The sequence below is a fragment of the Homo sapiens genome, chromosome 21 (genome assembly GCF_000001405.40).
Source record: "Homo sapiens chromosome 21, GRCh38.p14 Primary Assembly".
Taxonomy (NCBI): domain Eukaryota; kingdom Metazoa; phylum Chordata; class Mammalia; order Primates; family Hominidae; genus Homo; species Homo sapiens.
Window position 1 is genome coordinate 42,496,303 of NC_000021.9, and position 14,166 is coordinate 42,510,468.

General features: G+C 43.7%; 1 protein-coding gene and 1 long non-coding RNA gene across 2 annotated transcripts in view, besides 2 other annotated features; both read left to right on the forward strand.

Moving 5' to 3' along the window:
- Nucleotides 29-268: a silencer, noted in NCBI's record as "silent region_13345". NCBI's record gives its function as "represses an Ori minimal core promoter by ATAC-STARR-seq in GM12878 lymphoblastoid cells {active_cell/tissue: GM12878}" and the evidence as "EXISTENCE:reporter gene assay evidence [ECO:0000049][PMID:35858748]".
- On the forward strand, nucleotides 237-1,141 carry RSPH1-DT (RSPH1 divergent transcript). Its single transcript, NR_135518.1, has 3 exons — nucleotides 237-363; nucleotides 521-631; nucleotides 931-1,141. It is a non-coding gene; the product is annotated as an RSPH1 divergent transcript (long non-coding RNA).
- Nucleotides 3,004-3,504: an enhancer, noted in NCBI's record as "H3K4me1 hESC enhancer chr21:43919416-43919916 (GRCh37/hg19 assembly coordinates)". NCBI's record gives its function as "activates a minimal SCP1, AML or CMV promoter by ChIP-STARR-seq in primed H9 embryonic stem cells {active_cell/tissue: H9 hESC(primed)}" and the evidence as "EXISTENCE:reporter gene assay evidence [ECO:0000049][PMID:30033119]".
- Nucleotides 3,320-14,166, forward strand: part of SLC37A1 (solute carrier family 37 member 1) — an 81,805-nt gene continuing 70,958 nt past the window's right edge. Inside the window, exons 1-2 of the mRNA NM_018964.4 lie at nucleotides 3,320-3,441; nucleotides 5,994-6,115. The gene's annotated coding sequence lies outside the window, so the exon portion shown is untranslated. The remainder of the gene's footprint in view (nucleotides 3,442-5,993; nucleotides 6,116-14,166) is intronic.

Sequence of the window (14,166 nt, forward strand, 5' to 3'; positions counted from 1 at the left end):
CCCGGAAGATGGGGAGCGGGGACAGGCGACGCGGACGAAGCGGGAGGAGCCACTGGCAGCCTTTGCGTACTGTCATAGCAACGGGAAGGGCACCTCGACCAATCACCGCCCGGGAATACGGAGGGGCGGGGCGGAAGGGACGAGGTGGAGCCAGTGGCAGCACTCTGGTGCCGTCATAGCAACGAGGGGCCGCTTCGGCCAATCACTGCTCGGGAAGCGAGGGGGCGGGGACTGGGCAGGGCCTGAGCGGGTTCTGTGCCTGGCTGCCCACCGGCTCTCTGACCTGGACCTCGCCGTCGCTGGCCCCTGAAATCCATCACTTTTGTCGGCTGTTCTGTGACGCCACAACGAGGAGCCACCTGGGTACTGGGCCCTCAAGAGGAAGGACGCGGGAAACGCGTCCGGGCCAACTCTCGAGAGGGTTTCACCCCTGCCCAGTGCGGGCACTGCCCGCTCCCTTCCGCCCCCAGGCCTCGCAGGCCCCTCCGGGGATGCTGCCCACCCCCACTTACCTTTCTAGGCTCTGCTGACCCTTCGGGATTCGCGGCTAGCTGTGATGTGTCCGCCAAGATCTCTTCTCTTGTCTGTAAACAACTTCACTCTCAAGGAGGCAGCTCTGGCCTCTCAGCAGGTGCGGCCTACAGTGATGTCCGTCCGGGTTTTACATCCTTCCCCGACCTCGACATGAGTCCCAGCCCCCTCGGGCCTCTGACTCTCAGGTGTCCCCTACGATCGCCGTCCTCTCCTCTCGCTCCTGGCTCCCCTACACTGTCACACACCCACACAATCACAGACGCACACGCATGTACACGTGCAGGCTTGGAAATCTGCTTTACCTGACGCACTCCGCCTGCCGAAGGCCCCTCACATCTCCCATTTCCTCTGCCATCATCCCAGACTGCAAAGCTGTGTTATTTGTTGTTGCTGCAGGAGCTGGGGAGGAGTGACTGAATAACTATAGGATTTGGTCTTGATGGGAGAATCCCAGAAGCCAAATCCACGCGGTGAATAAGCTGCTGATCTTCCAGAGCACACATCCCCTAGAGATTCTTCCCAATGCTAATATGAAAGGTTACAACCATAACCCATCATCAGGCCCAAATATATTACTTACTGAATAAATACACAAGTTACAACAACACACGAGATTCCAAAATTATGTCGTTTTTTAGATGCAAAGATAAAAATGTTGTAAACACCAAAATTTAACAGCTTTTCTTATGGGGAAAAGTGGGGAGTTAGGGATAACAGATGATTATTATTTTCTTCTCTACATATTGGCAGTTACCCAGTTACTACAATTAAGCATGTCCTATTTTTATAATAAAATGCCAGAAGCATTTTAAATGTTAGAAATCTAGAATGGTAACATAAGTATATGCAAATAAATACTCGTTTTTTACATTTAAAATGTCAGAAATTTAGCTTTCAAATTTGTCCTAACAATGACAGTAACCAGTGTTTACTAAGTTCTGACACTGTGTGTGGGCACTGTTTTAAGAATTTTATGAGTTATCTTATTAAATCCTCACTATCATTCCTCCATTGAACATCTAAGGAAAGGGAGTTATAGGGGGTTATAAACTAAAAATAACCTCCTAAGCCCCACCACAGCCAACTGAATGGACCCCTCTTGGCCAAGAGGGCCCCAGAAACCTTAAAAACTGCGTTCTCAGCCATGATGGGAAGGGAGGTCGAACATGCCTCACTAATACCCTTGTGCAGTTTAGACACAACAACTAACAAGCATTAATGTTAAAATAGAGATCATAAGACTGACAGAATGGACGCTGTGGCAGTAAGATACCAACTTACAAACAGGACCTAAGGCCATGCCAGGCATGAGTTAAGTCATGCATCCCTACACTTAAAAGAATAAACTATATTTTAACTACCTGGAGAAGGTCTTATGACTCGTGTTTTACATCCTGTACTTGAGCAAACAATCTTACTGTGAATCTCTCAAATCGTATCATGAGTTCCTCAGACTGTTGATGTACTAATTAATACGTAAACTACTGACACTGAAAAGGATACTGATTTGTTTCTGAATCATGACGTTTCACTGATTGTCTTGTGCATATGCAGAAAACATTTTAGCCTGTATGTTGTCATCTGTAGCCAATGACTGTAACCTCTATATTGTCCCTCCAATGAAAAAAGACAACTGCAATATGAGGAGTCCCCTTCCCATTCCTCAACTTTCTTATAAAAGCACTGCAACTTGTAACAGACTTTGGAACACACCCAACTTTGTTGGTGTGTCTTCCCCATTCAATCTTCAAATTTGGCTTTCAATAAGCCTTTATCAATTTCCGCCTCAACAGCCTTAACTTTGGTCGACAGCAGTTAAGATCCTTACCCAAGATCATACAGCTAGTGGGATTCAAATCAAGCCAGCTGACCCAAGAGCAACTGTTGCCCATCACTATACTGCCTCCCAGATCTGTGATATAAAGAAATAACTATAGTTTTCTGGCAGTGACTAAACCATCTACCAAGCAGAGGACCACTAGTTCAAATGCCTTGGATTGCAAACACCAGAGAGTGGCTTAAGCAAACCACATGGTTAAGCAAACCCTGTTCTGGATCACATCATTAGCAGCTAGACGTCTAGCTATAGCTATTAAATCCTAAGGTTTACAATTTGATTTCTATCCCATACGAATTAGCCAGGGTCTTCCCTCCCAAATCTTTCAGTCAATCTATAGTAATTTCACCACACTGTGGGTTTGGCAATTATCCAAATAATTGACACCAAAGGCAAGAAGGGGTGAACAACAGGATGGGCCTCCCGGCATCTCCTGCAGCAGCACCTGGACTGGATTCTAAATTCCTCCTTCCAGAAAGAAGCTGCATCCCAGCCCAGATCCAGCTGAGAGCCACAGCTGCCAAGAGGCAGTCGGAGCTCTGGGCACCTCTCTGTGCACCCAGGAAGCCCCAGGAGGACTTCATCAAGCCAAGTCGATGCCTCACTCAGAGCCCCAGGATCCCTGACTCCTAACCCCACAGTGACCTGGAAATGCCTGGTGATGCCAGAAGCAGCGCTTTCCAATTCTGAAGGCCCTCAAAATGCTTGTTCAGCCCACCTTCCTCCTTTCCTGGGGCGTGGGAGTGGTGGGGAGATGAGAGGCAGAAAGATGAGGACATCATCAGGAGGTTTTTCCTTACTGGAAAATGAGAGGAAATCCTCTTTCACTACTTAAAAATCAAAAGGGGCTGTCCATATTCCTCTGGCAGGGGTCTCCCATCATCCCCCGCGAGGCATTCCCATTATCCCCTGCGGAGCTTTCCCATCATCCACAGAGGCCCTTCCCATAACCCCCAAGTGGGAAGTTCGCGCAAGTGCGGCTCTGCAGGGAGGAGGGAGGGCCGAGGGGAAGGCCCTCGAGAGAGTGGAGGGCAACAGTGGCCACGGTTCCTCTGTACTTCGTTTCTTCCGTAAGAAATGATCTTCTTGTCCTTCTTAAGTATAAATGGAGCGATCCATTTCCTTTTACCCATTAACCCCTTCAAAAAGAAGAAAAACAGTCCCAGGCTGGCCATGGTTGATCTCTGCAGGGGCGCTGGTCAGGGTGCCTTCTGCTTCCTGGTGGGATGGCCTAGGCCGGGGAAACTGTTGAAACCACCCTGGGGCTGCCTTCTGTATTTTCCACAACCTTCCAGGCCCACCTCCCAGCTGGAGGCCCTGCAGCTTGGCAGTTGCCATGGCGACTGAGTCCCTAAGTGTGTCTCTTCTGAGCTCTCCTGGACAGTGTGGAGAAAAGGCCTTAAGAACTGAGGGGCTTCAGTAAAATGCAAACAGATTTTTTTTTTGTAGGCACTGTTCAGATAAAAAGCAGGGACTTTCAACAAAATGAGTTCAGGTCCATCTTAACTATAGAACTATGAGGTTGTTTATTAGAATAATTGTACTCTGGTAAATTTACCAATTTCATATATATGCATATTTATAAACAAACATATTAGAGTATATAGATAGAAAAAGTTCTATCTACATGTAGAATCGAAAACTTTTTAAAATAGTGTTGGTAGTATCACACATTGCCATTTAGTGGATAGAGACAGACCCGAGATTGGAGCCCTAGCTCCGTATACTTCTTTCTGAAGTCAGTCTACTCATCTGTAAAATGGGCTGTTGTGAGGTCAAAATTAGATATTCATAATGAGAGTAGCATAGTGCCTAGCACAAAGTAAAGCACTTAGTAAATGGGAGCTATTACTATTAATTGTACTGCTGTTAATCTTACAATAGGTTAAGCACCTTTTGTCTATCAGTATGTTTGGGGGGGAATTTTAACTCAAGTTTATCTTAATCGTTTTCAGTCGTGTTTTTTTCTTGAAAAGAATCAAACTGCCAAAGATGATTCTGTCAGTTGTTTGTGACAATCAGAAGTTAGTCTGTGACGAACAGATTAGTTTTAATGCTCATATTCATTAGCACTAATATACATAAGGGTGGGGAGAGACTGAAGCTTCTGGAAATATATAGACAGGTAGATTCTTAAGCGTAAGTAGGTATTTGAACTGTTTGTGGATTATGTCTCATAAAATTGGCACCCAGCAAGGAGGAAAATGCCAGATACACACACGCCCATACCTGAGGTATGTAGGTCAATGGAAGGCTATTGAAACACAGTTGTCAAGAGAGAAATGTAAAGTATTTTTCACCCAGGAAGTGAGATTATTCAGTGATGCATCAAAACCAGTAGGGAAAACAGTTTAGTGGACACCAGTGTGGAGACGAGATGTCAGAAAATTGGATAGACTCGAATTTCACGTTGGGTAGCAACTCAAGGACATAGCTCAGTGCTTGGCACATAGTAAGTGCTCAACCAACACAGGTTTATCAAATTAAATGTTAGATATTATTTTGCAACAGAGCTGTGCTTTATGCAGCAGTAGGAAAAGAGAAAAATTGACGTGAAATTTTTTCTTTTTCTTGTTTTTTTATTCTTAAATCACACTCCATTTTCCGAGGGCTCTCTCAGGATATCAGTTGCTTAACTACGTCTGAGTGTCTTCTAGGTCGAGTACTAGGGGATTACAAGGAAATGAGAAAGAAATTACAGACCCATTGGGGGGCAAATTCTACATTAATCTACACTGTTAAAAAAATTTACCAGGGCCGGGAGCGGTGGCTCACGCCTGTAATCCCAGCACTTTGGGAGGCCAAGGTGGGTGGATTGCCTGAGCTCAGGAGTTCAAGACCAGCTTGGCCAACATGGTGAAACCCTGTCTCTACTAAAAATACAAAAAATTAGCTGGGCATGGTGGCGGGCGCCTGTAATCCCAGCCACTCAGGAGGTTGAGGCAGGAGAATCGCTTGAACCCGGGAGGCAGAGGTTGCAGTGAGCCGAGATTGCACCATTGCACTCTGGCCTGGGCGACAAGAGACAAGAGTGAAACTCTATCTCAAAAAACAAAAACAAAAACAAAACTATTATGCCTTCTGGCTACATGTTAATCCTTCATTCCAAAGTGGAGGTCACTCTTTCCTACTGGTGGATATGTAAGGCTGGTTCTAGTTTTGATGCTGCAGATAGCCTCACTCTAACCAGCAGTTGTGGTGGGAGATCCTGTGCTACATGGGGCTGTACTTTTCAAGGTCTAAGGGTGGATCAGATTTTCTAGAAAAGGGACAGGGAAAAAGGTGGCATGCTGAACCACGTGTCCATGATTTTCCCAGAATAAGGCTCCCCCTACCCAACTTACAGGAAGGTCATGATCAAATAAGATAACGAGGATGAAATGATTTGGAAGTGCTATAGAAATGTAACGTGTATATTTAGCTCAGGTTTTAAAATCTTTTAATTATGTAACATTTGATGCATGCAAAAGAACACATATTCACGTATGCCAGCAAAGTAATACAGTGAACACCTGTGAACCCCTGCCCAAAGTAAATAGATGAATGAGTAAATGAAATAAATATTAACATCTGAATGCATAGATCTTTGTCCACATCTCAAATTCAGCTCTTTGGATTGCAGCTTTATAGAATTGAGAGATTGCTGAGCCTAAATACATGTTGCTGCATTGCCTCCGAGAATGGCCGGACCTATCCCCACTCTCACCAAAACAGAGTGTGGGACTCACTGCTCCCTCGCCTACTGTAAGTCCTATTTTTCTTCTTTGCTAATCTGATGGACAGGCAGTGTCTCATAGTGACTTTAGTTTGTATTCATATTTTCTCGATTATTTGAGAAGATAAGCATTTTTCCCCAAATGTTTATTCTTCACCTATGATAACCCTTGTTAATTATTTAGATTAGTTTTTTGCAGGCCACTTTCATATATCTGTATATGTTGTTTTCTCTTTCTGAAATGTGATGCCCATGTTTCTCTACCTGGTGAACAATTTGTCAACTTTAATATCTTACCAGATGTAACCTTCCTAGGGATGCTGTTTCTAACTGCTGCCGGCCCCTTCTTACCATCTCTCTGGTTGTGCTTCTGACGCATTCCCTACACAACTGGAACGTGTTTCCAGGTCAGCCTCCCTAAGCACCTCCCAAGGCCTCCACCCCACAGTGTCGCACAGAACTTGACACATACCAGATGCTCCAATTATTAAATATTACTGAGTACTTTTAGAAAATTGGGAACATACAATAAAGTATAATGAAGAAAATAAAGAAAACCAATAATCTCACTTCCCAAAGATAATAACTACTGCCATTTTGGTGTGAATCCTTTCATGCTTTTAAAATGCATATATATGTCTATTTAATTGAAATCATTCTATTTGTCACTTACATTATCACATGTCATTATATGGTGCACATGTCAAAAAAAATTTCCAAAGTGTTTTAAAGACAATAGTATTTCACCTTAAGGATATACCAAAATTATTATGTCACAAATGTTGGATAAGAGAATGAATGAAAATCTTTAATATGAAGTTGAACAAGGTAAGGGGTATTACTTAAGGAAATTATACTCCTTTTTTTTTTTTTTTTTTTGAGACAAGGTCTGGCTCTGTCATCCAGGCTGGAGTGCAGTGGCATGATCACAGCTCACTGCAGCCTAGACCTCCCAGGTTCACGTGATCCTCCTGCCTCAGCCTCCCGAGTACCTGGGAATACAGGTGCCTACCACCACACCTGGCTGATTTTTTGTATTTTTTTTGTAGAGACAGGGTTTTGCCATGTCGCCCAGGCTCAACAACATGTGGATCAAGAGATCCACTCACCTCAGCCTCCCAAAGTGCTGGAATTACAGGTGTGAGCCACCACACCCAGCCTCCATTTTGTTTTTAAGAAAACAATGTGTCGGGTGTCTTTTCTCAGTATGTCATTCACTCATGTTTCTTGGGTGACTACCAGAAGTTCCTCAGCTCTGGGTACTGTTGCTGTCCTCCTCTCGTGGCGCTGGCATACCTGCTTGTTTGAATTGCCTTTCTCCTCTCCTCAAGCCCATTTTTAATTATCTAGTTACTAGGACAAGCATCTAAATAGTTGTGGAGCAAATACAGTTATCGGAAGAGCTAAATGAACCATTTCCCTCTCCCTCTACAAACAGGAAAGCCAGAAAGGTTTTAAACTGGACTGGTAATTTTAGGTTCCCCAGAGCTGGCTTTGTGCTATCTGACCACTGAGGCCCTGCACTGGGAGGAACCAGACGGGGCCCCTGGCAACCACATCCGGGTGGTACTAGAACATCTCAGTGCTGTTATCTATGACCCCAGAACAGAGTCTCAGTTCAGGGGCCCTAAAAGAGTTTCCCCACTGAACAAGCATGGAAATGTGAAAATACGTATTTATTAAACAAGATAAGTGAAGATTGTTTCATTTAGAATGTGATTCACTAATGCATTTCTTTGATTACTTAGTTATCTTGGTATGTTCAAAATATTGTGGCTTTCTTTTTAGCAGTTCTTTATATTAATACATTTAAAGAGGGTCCCAGAAGGGCACCAGGCTTTAGGATGGCTAGAAATGGGGACATGGCCTGGTCATTTTGGGTCATCTTGGCCCTGGTCTCAGTTCCAAGGATGTGTTGGAGAGAGTATAGGGGTGATAGCTTAGGAAAACTCTCCGGAGTGAAGAGGCAGCTTGGCTTTATTAGGTTGTTTTCTTCACCTTAATCCTGAAAACCTTTTCAAGCTAACTGGCAGCAAGTTGGACATCGAGGTATGTGTTTAGTTCTAGAAACTTCTCTATGTGTGTCATGATATTTTCTTTTGTTACTATCTTAAGTCATGCACATATATGATATGTATTACAATGTAGTAGAAAAAGTAAAATTTATACAGTAAAGGGAGAAAAAGGACCCAGAAAGCAAGAACTCATTAGCCTGCCTGTGCCCAGCATGACCCTGCAAGACAGGCGTCTTACTCCCAAGTTCACTACCAGAATAAATGAATTAATTGACTCTAAAAGGGTTTTGAGAACAGTTTCAAGTTATTATTGCTTATGCTTCCTCCCCTACATTCCAGATCCCACAAAGAAGCCACTTCTTGGGCTGACCTTTTTATCATCCACCTCAAACTCAACAAGGGCAAAACTGAACTTCTTCTCTCCGCTTTATTTCCTTATCTTAATGAAGGGCCCACTTGCTACCGGTTTACTAAGCCAGAATCTGAACATCATCAATGTCAGGGACCAGTTCTTTCCTTCCCCCTTCCCCAACCAATCTCCAAATCCTGGAGAGTCTTCCTTCCAAATTATTCCAAATCCATCTACTTTTTTCCATTCCCACTGCTTCTTCCTTAGTCAGGACACCATCATTTTCTGCCAAGAAGACGCCAACAGCCCAGGTGGTCTCCCTGCCCTTAGTCTCACTGTCTTCTAATCTATTTGCCACACTGACCAGAATAATCTTTTAAAACCACACATCTAATCACGTTGTTCTTCAGTTTAAAATCTTTCAGTAGTGAAGTCCAGACTCCCTCATTCGATTATTAGGCTCTGAATGATGTGGCCACTAAGTCCCTCCCCAGCCTCTTCTCTTGCCTTATGTTCACACACCACACTCTCTGCTGTGGCCATAATGACTTTCAGTTCCCCAAACCCAACTTTCTGTAGGATTGCTGGGCCTTTGCCTATGCTGTTTGTTCTCTGCTTGGAACACCTTCCACTCTTCTTTTGGGTAACTCGATGCCTTCTCCAGGTCTCAGCTCAGCTGTCACTTACACAACCCCATAGGCAGGCTTTATCCCCAACCCTTGTCCACAGTATCCTCCAGGTGACTGTGTCTCCCAGGTGGGTAGCCCCTGAAGTAACCCTCTACACTCCATCACTGTCAGAGAGTTGGAAGGCTGGAGAGGCATGACCCCTCAGAGTCAACCTAGATCCTTGTGGCTTCAGCCCCCAGCAGGTAGGGAGCCCACCAAGCTTCAACTCTACAGCAGAGACACAGCCAAGGCTACTGGTATGTGCAAAACATTGGCTTGTGAAAATTACAGTATCCAAAACATGATTTTTTTTCTAAAAGAGCTTTTTAAATTTTGTTTTCTAAAAGTTAAAACCAGAAAATTTCTGATTTCTGACAGGTTAAGGATTTAGGGGAATTTTTAAGTTATGTGATGTGAGGTTCTCTGTAGTTTTGTACCAACTAGATTGTTCATTTCCTAAGAATGAGGACCTCTCCTATTCATCTTTGTAATAGGGACAGTGTCTTACAGATGAAAACATTCAATGACCCTACATTAGAGGAGAAGAAACTGGAGCACAAATTGGTTGAATGTTCCCCCATGTGACACATTTAATAAGGCTAATGTTGTTGAAGTGGAGGCTGGGCAGGCAGTAAGAGGATTCCCTTGTATACTTGCACGGTGAACATGAGTACTGGCATCGCAGGCCTCGTTCAATGTTGATACTCTTGAATTTAAAGTGGCATTTCCATGTACTCTTACAGATGTTCCTTCATTTGCCATCAGAAGGATAGCTGTGAAGTGATATATAGGAACTTTGTAGGCATATTTGATTTTTAAACCTCTATTAACTTTGTGTCAAATAATCAAAGCTTAACAGGATTTATATTAAGGATGGTGAGAGGGAATCAAACTTCATTTTTAGAGAAAAATAGCAAATCAAAATAAGCTGATGAAAGGGACTTTGTGGTTCTCTCCTTCCTTCAGCTCCTGATATGAATCCTAGACTTTTTACATATTCATACTAATTAGCTGTGCTTTCCAATAATTAGAGTAGCCATAAGCATTTGTACACTAATTCACAGTTCCTAAAGCATTCTTAGGAATATTAGCATAAATGTTTATTGAATGTCTCCTGTGTGCCAGGCATGATTCTATACATGATAAGGATTCACTGATGAATAAAACCGGTTAAAAAATCTCTGCTTTCATGGTGCCTACATTCTAACACCTTACTTTCCCCATTCATCCATACATCAACCCCACAGAATCACACTAGGAAAACTGGAGTTCAGGAGAGTAAAGTGACTTTCACAGGGTCCCAAAAATAGTAAGTTTGGGGTCACAATTTGAACTTGTCACTCCAGATTCCAAGTCCCATGCCTTTTTTTTTGCTAGGTCAGTATTCACTGTGGAATCATAACTGATACTCAAAAACATGATCTTGAGTAATATTCAGGAAAGAATATCATATTCAATAAGTTGCTTTTTTTTTCTTTTTGAGACAGACTCTCACTCTGTCACCAAGGCTGGAGTGCAGTGGTGCGATCTCAGCTCACTGCCACCTCTGCCTCCTGGGTTCAAACAATTCTCCTGTCTCAGCCTCCCAAGTAGCTGGGATTACAGGCACATGCCACCACACCCAGCTAATTTTTTGTATTTCAGTAGAGACGGGATTTCATCGTGTTGCCCAGGCTGGTCTTGAACTCGTGAGCTCAGGCAATCCACTTGCCTTGGCCTCCGAAAGTGCTGGGATTACAGTCATGAGCCACCACACCCAGCCCAATAAGTTGCTTTTATTATTGAGTTACATAAGTCTTTTTTAGAAAAGATTTAAGATACAAGAGTTAAATACTAATGGTCTTAACCATAAGAGTTAAAACTATAAATTAACTGGAAAGGAGCAGCTGCCTAGAGGAACCCAGGGCATGCGCCTTCTGATGGCCACAGTGAGTGCTGAGGTCTTCAGTGTAGGCTGTGAGGGGGACTGGCTGCCTAAACTGTCAGCCTGTGGTAAGTAGGGTAGATTAAGCTGATGGAGCAGAAAGCCTCACCATCCAAAGCCATCCTTTCCCAGACTCCATGTCTGGTGGGAATAGATAGGCAACCCGGGAAAGAGTACTAAAGTGTGTGTCTTAGTCCTTTTGGGTTGCTATAAAGGAATCCTCGAGGCTGGGTAATTTATAAAGAAAAGAGGTTTATTTAGTTCATGGTTCTGCATGCTGAACAAGAAGCATGGCACCAGCACGTACTTCTTACGAAGGCCTCAGGAAGCTTCCATTCCTGATGAAAGGTGAAGTGGAGCAGGCCTCACATAGTGAGAGGGGAAGGAAGAGAGAGAGCATGGAGGGAGGTGCCAGGCTCCTTCTAATCAGTGCTCACAGGGACTGATACAGTGAGAACTCACTTACTACTGAGAGGATAGCACCAAACCATTCCTGAGAGATCTCCCCCGATGACCCAGACACCTCCCACTAGGTCCCACCTCCAACAGTGGGGGTCAAGTTTCAACATGAGATTTGGAGGGGACAAATACCCAAACAATATCAGTTTGATAAAGAGGATATGAGTAATTTCATTCTCCCATCAGACAGTGTTTGTTTAGAAGAAAAGTACCATGTCCATAAATCATCAAATGCTGGCCCAGAGGGAACTTTAAAGAACAGCCCCTTGATTTAAGCCACACAGTTTACCAAACTATAACTGGACTGAAGAGTACGCTCTTTTTTTTTTTTTTTTTTTTTTTTGAGGCGGAGTCTCGCTCTGTTGCCCAGGCTGGAGTGCAATGGCGCAATCTCAGCTCACTGCAAACTCTGCCTCCCGGGTTCAAGCAATTCTTCTGCCGCAGCCTCCCCCGTAGCTATGATTACAGGTGCCCGCCACCATGCCTGGCTAATTTTTGTATTTTTAGTAGAGACAGGGTTTCACCATGTTGGCCAAGCTGGTCTCGAATTCCTGACCTCAGGTGATCCACCTGCCTCAGCCTCCCAGAGTGCTGGGATTACAGGCATGAGCCACCGTGCCTGGCCTAAGAGTATGTCTTTTTGCAGACCCCATAAAAATTTTCCAACTTGCTTATCTCATGTATTTGCACTAGCTCAACTGCAAGAATGACTCCTTAGTTGATGGGTCAGTTTCCTATTTCCACATACCTGACCTCATTCTACCTATAGGCATAAACTCAAGAGGAATTTACAACAGATGGGCTCAGGCAACAAGTTAGCCCCAGAGTGGAGCTCAGCTACAGAGGAATGCTTCACTGAAAGAAATGTGAGTCCCTGAATCTGATTCAAGCCTTTATCAAGTCCTACTTCAGTTAGAATCCAGTTTACTCCCCAAATACCCGTGAGCACTCTCTCAGTTACTATTTCCCTTGCTACACATATAGAAGAAAAGCAAGAAAGTTACTCTGCTGGGAAACACTGCCAAGGGGTCTTAGAAGCAAGAAAATTTGCCTATTTTATACAGGTAGTTTAAAGAGAACCACCCTTATAAATGGGTGTTTGTCCCCTTATTATTTCAGGACACTTGAAAGCTCCTCTCCTCCAATATGTCTCTAATTCAAGTATCACAGTGTCTAAAATTCTACCACTAAAATGCCATTACCTAAATTAAGCACAGCCTTCTGTCTTTATGTTGATATTTCTTTAAATATCATGCCAATAGTTTTAAAATCAAATGATACTAAAGGTATATAACAACAAACAGTCGGGCCTGGCTTTATCCCTTCAACTCCTCTGTCTCATTCCCCTACCATTTTCTACTCTTTTACCCATTTCTTCTGGTAGTTCCCTATATTTCTAAATAATATGAGTAAACTATGATTTTTATGTCCAATTTTAAAGCTTTTCTATGGACCTCTGGTTTTAGAGACAACATCTAGTTCTCTTACATCCCTTGCCACTTCCCCTGATGCTGTAGGACAGACAGGTCTGTCCCACCCACGGTGACTCAGTCATTGTTGTTCATGGCCGCTGCCCGTTCTTCACGATCAAGGAGGAGAATTCTTTGGAGGAAACAGAGCTTTCATACGTGAATCGACTGGGAAGCGAGTCAAAAGTACTGCAACTGGAAGTGTGGCATGGGGAGGGGGCCGTGGCCAGTCTCCTCACTGGGCTCCTGTAGGACTGGGAACGCCTACTCCTTCACACCTAATTATGTTTGCTGGATTGGGTTATAGTTCTTCAGTGTGTGGACTCTTGTCAGTTTTATATCCGTAGGCCGAGCACAATGCCTGGAATACAGAGCATGCTTAATAATCAGAGGCTTTTCATTGTATTTCTTATCAACAACACTAGTAACTGAATATAAATCACCCTTCCTCGCCAGTCAGTGCACCATACCATTAGAATTCTTGCTTTTTGATCAGTGGAGATAAAATGAGTTTCTTTTCTCCATGTTAAGTAATCAGGTTCTGATTTTCCCTTTTCTTTCTCTCTAATAGTGTTTAATGCTCTAATGCTTTCTAAGCATGAGGTATTTTCTTGAGCTCTGAAGCCCAGTATCTTCAAAGCCCCCTTCAGGGAAACCTCAGTTCCCTGTCAGTCAAGGCCTGTCACTGGCTTTGCCTTGGCCTTCTCTGGGAGAATGTCTGCTCCTTAAGTTGATGGCATACAAGTTGAGGTGGGGAAAAATTAAAGTGTAGGATTTCTGTAGGCAGCTAATGTTTTATTACTGGAGTGCAGTGATGCGATCTCAGCTCACTGCAACCTCTGCCTCCTGGGTTCAAGCAATTCCCCTGCCTCAGCCTCCTGAGTAGCTGGGACTACAGGCACACACTACCACGCCCAGCTAATTTTTTGTATTTTAGTAGAGATGGGGTTTCACCATGTTGGCCAGGATAGTCTCGATCTCCTGACTGCATGATCTGCCCGTCTCAGCCTCCCAAAGTGCTGGGATTACAGGCGAGAGCCATAGCGCCTGGCCTAAAATGTATTATATAAGCATCATAGTGACCACAAAACAAAAACCTGCAGCAGATATACAAAATGTAAAGAGAAAGGAATCAAAGCATACCATTACAAAAATCATCACATTAGAAAGGAAGATAGTAAGGGAGTAACAAAGCA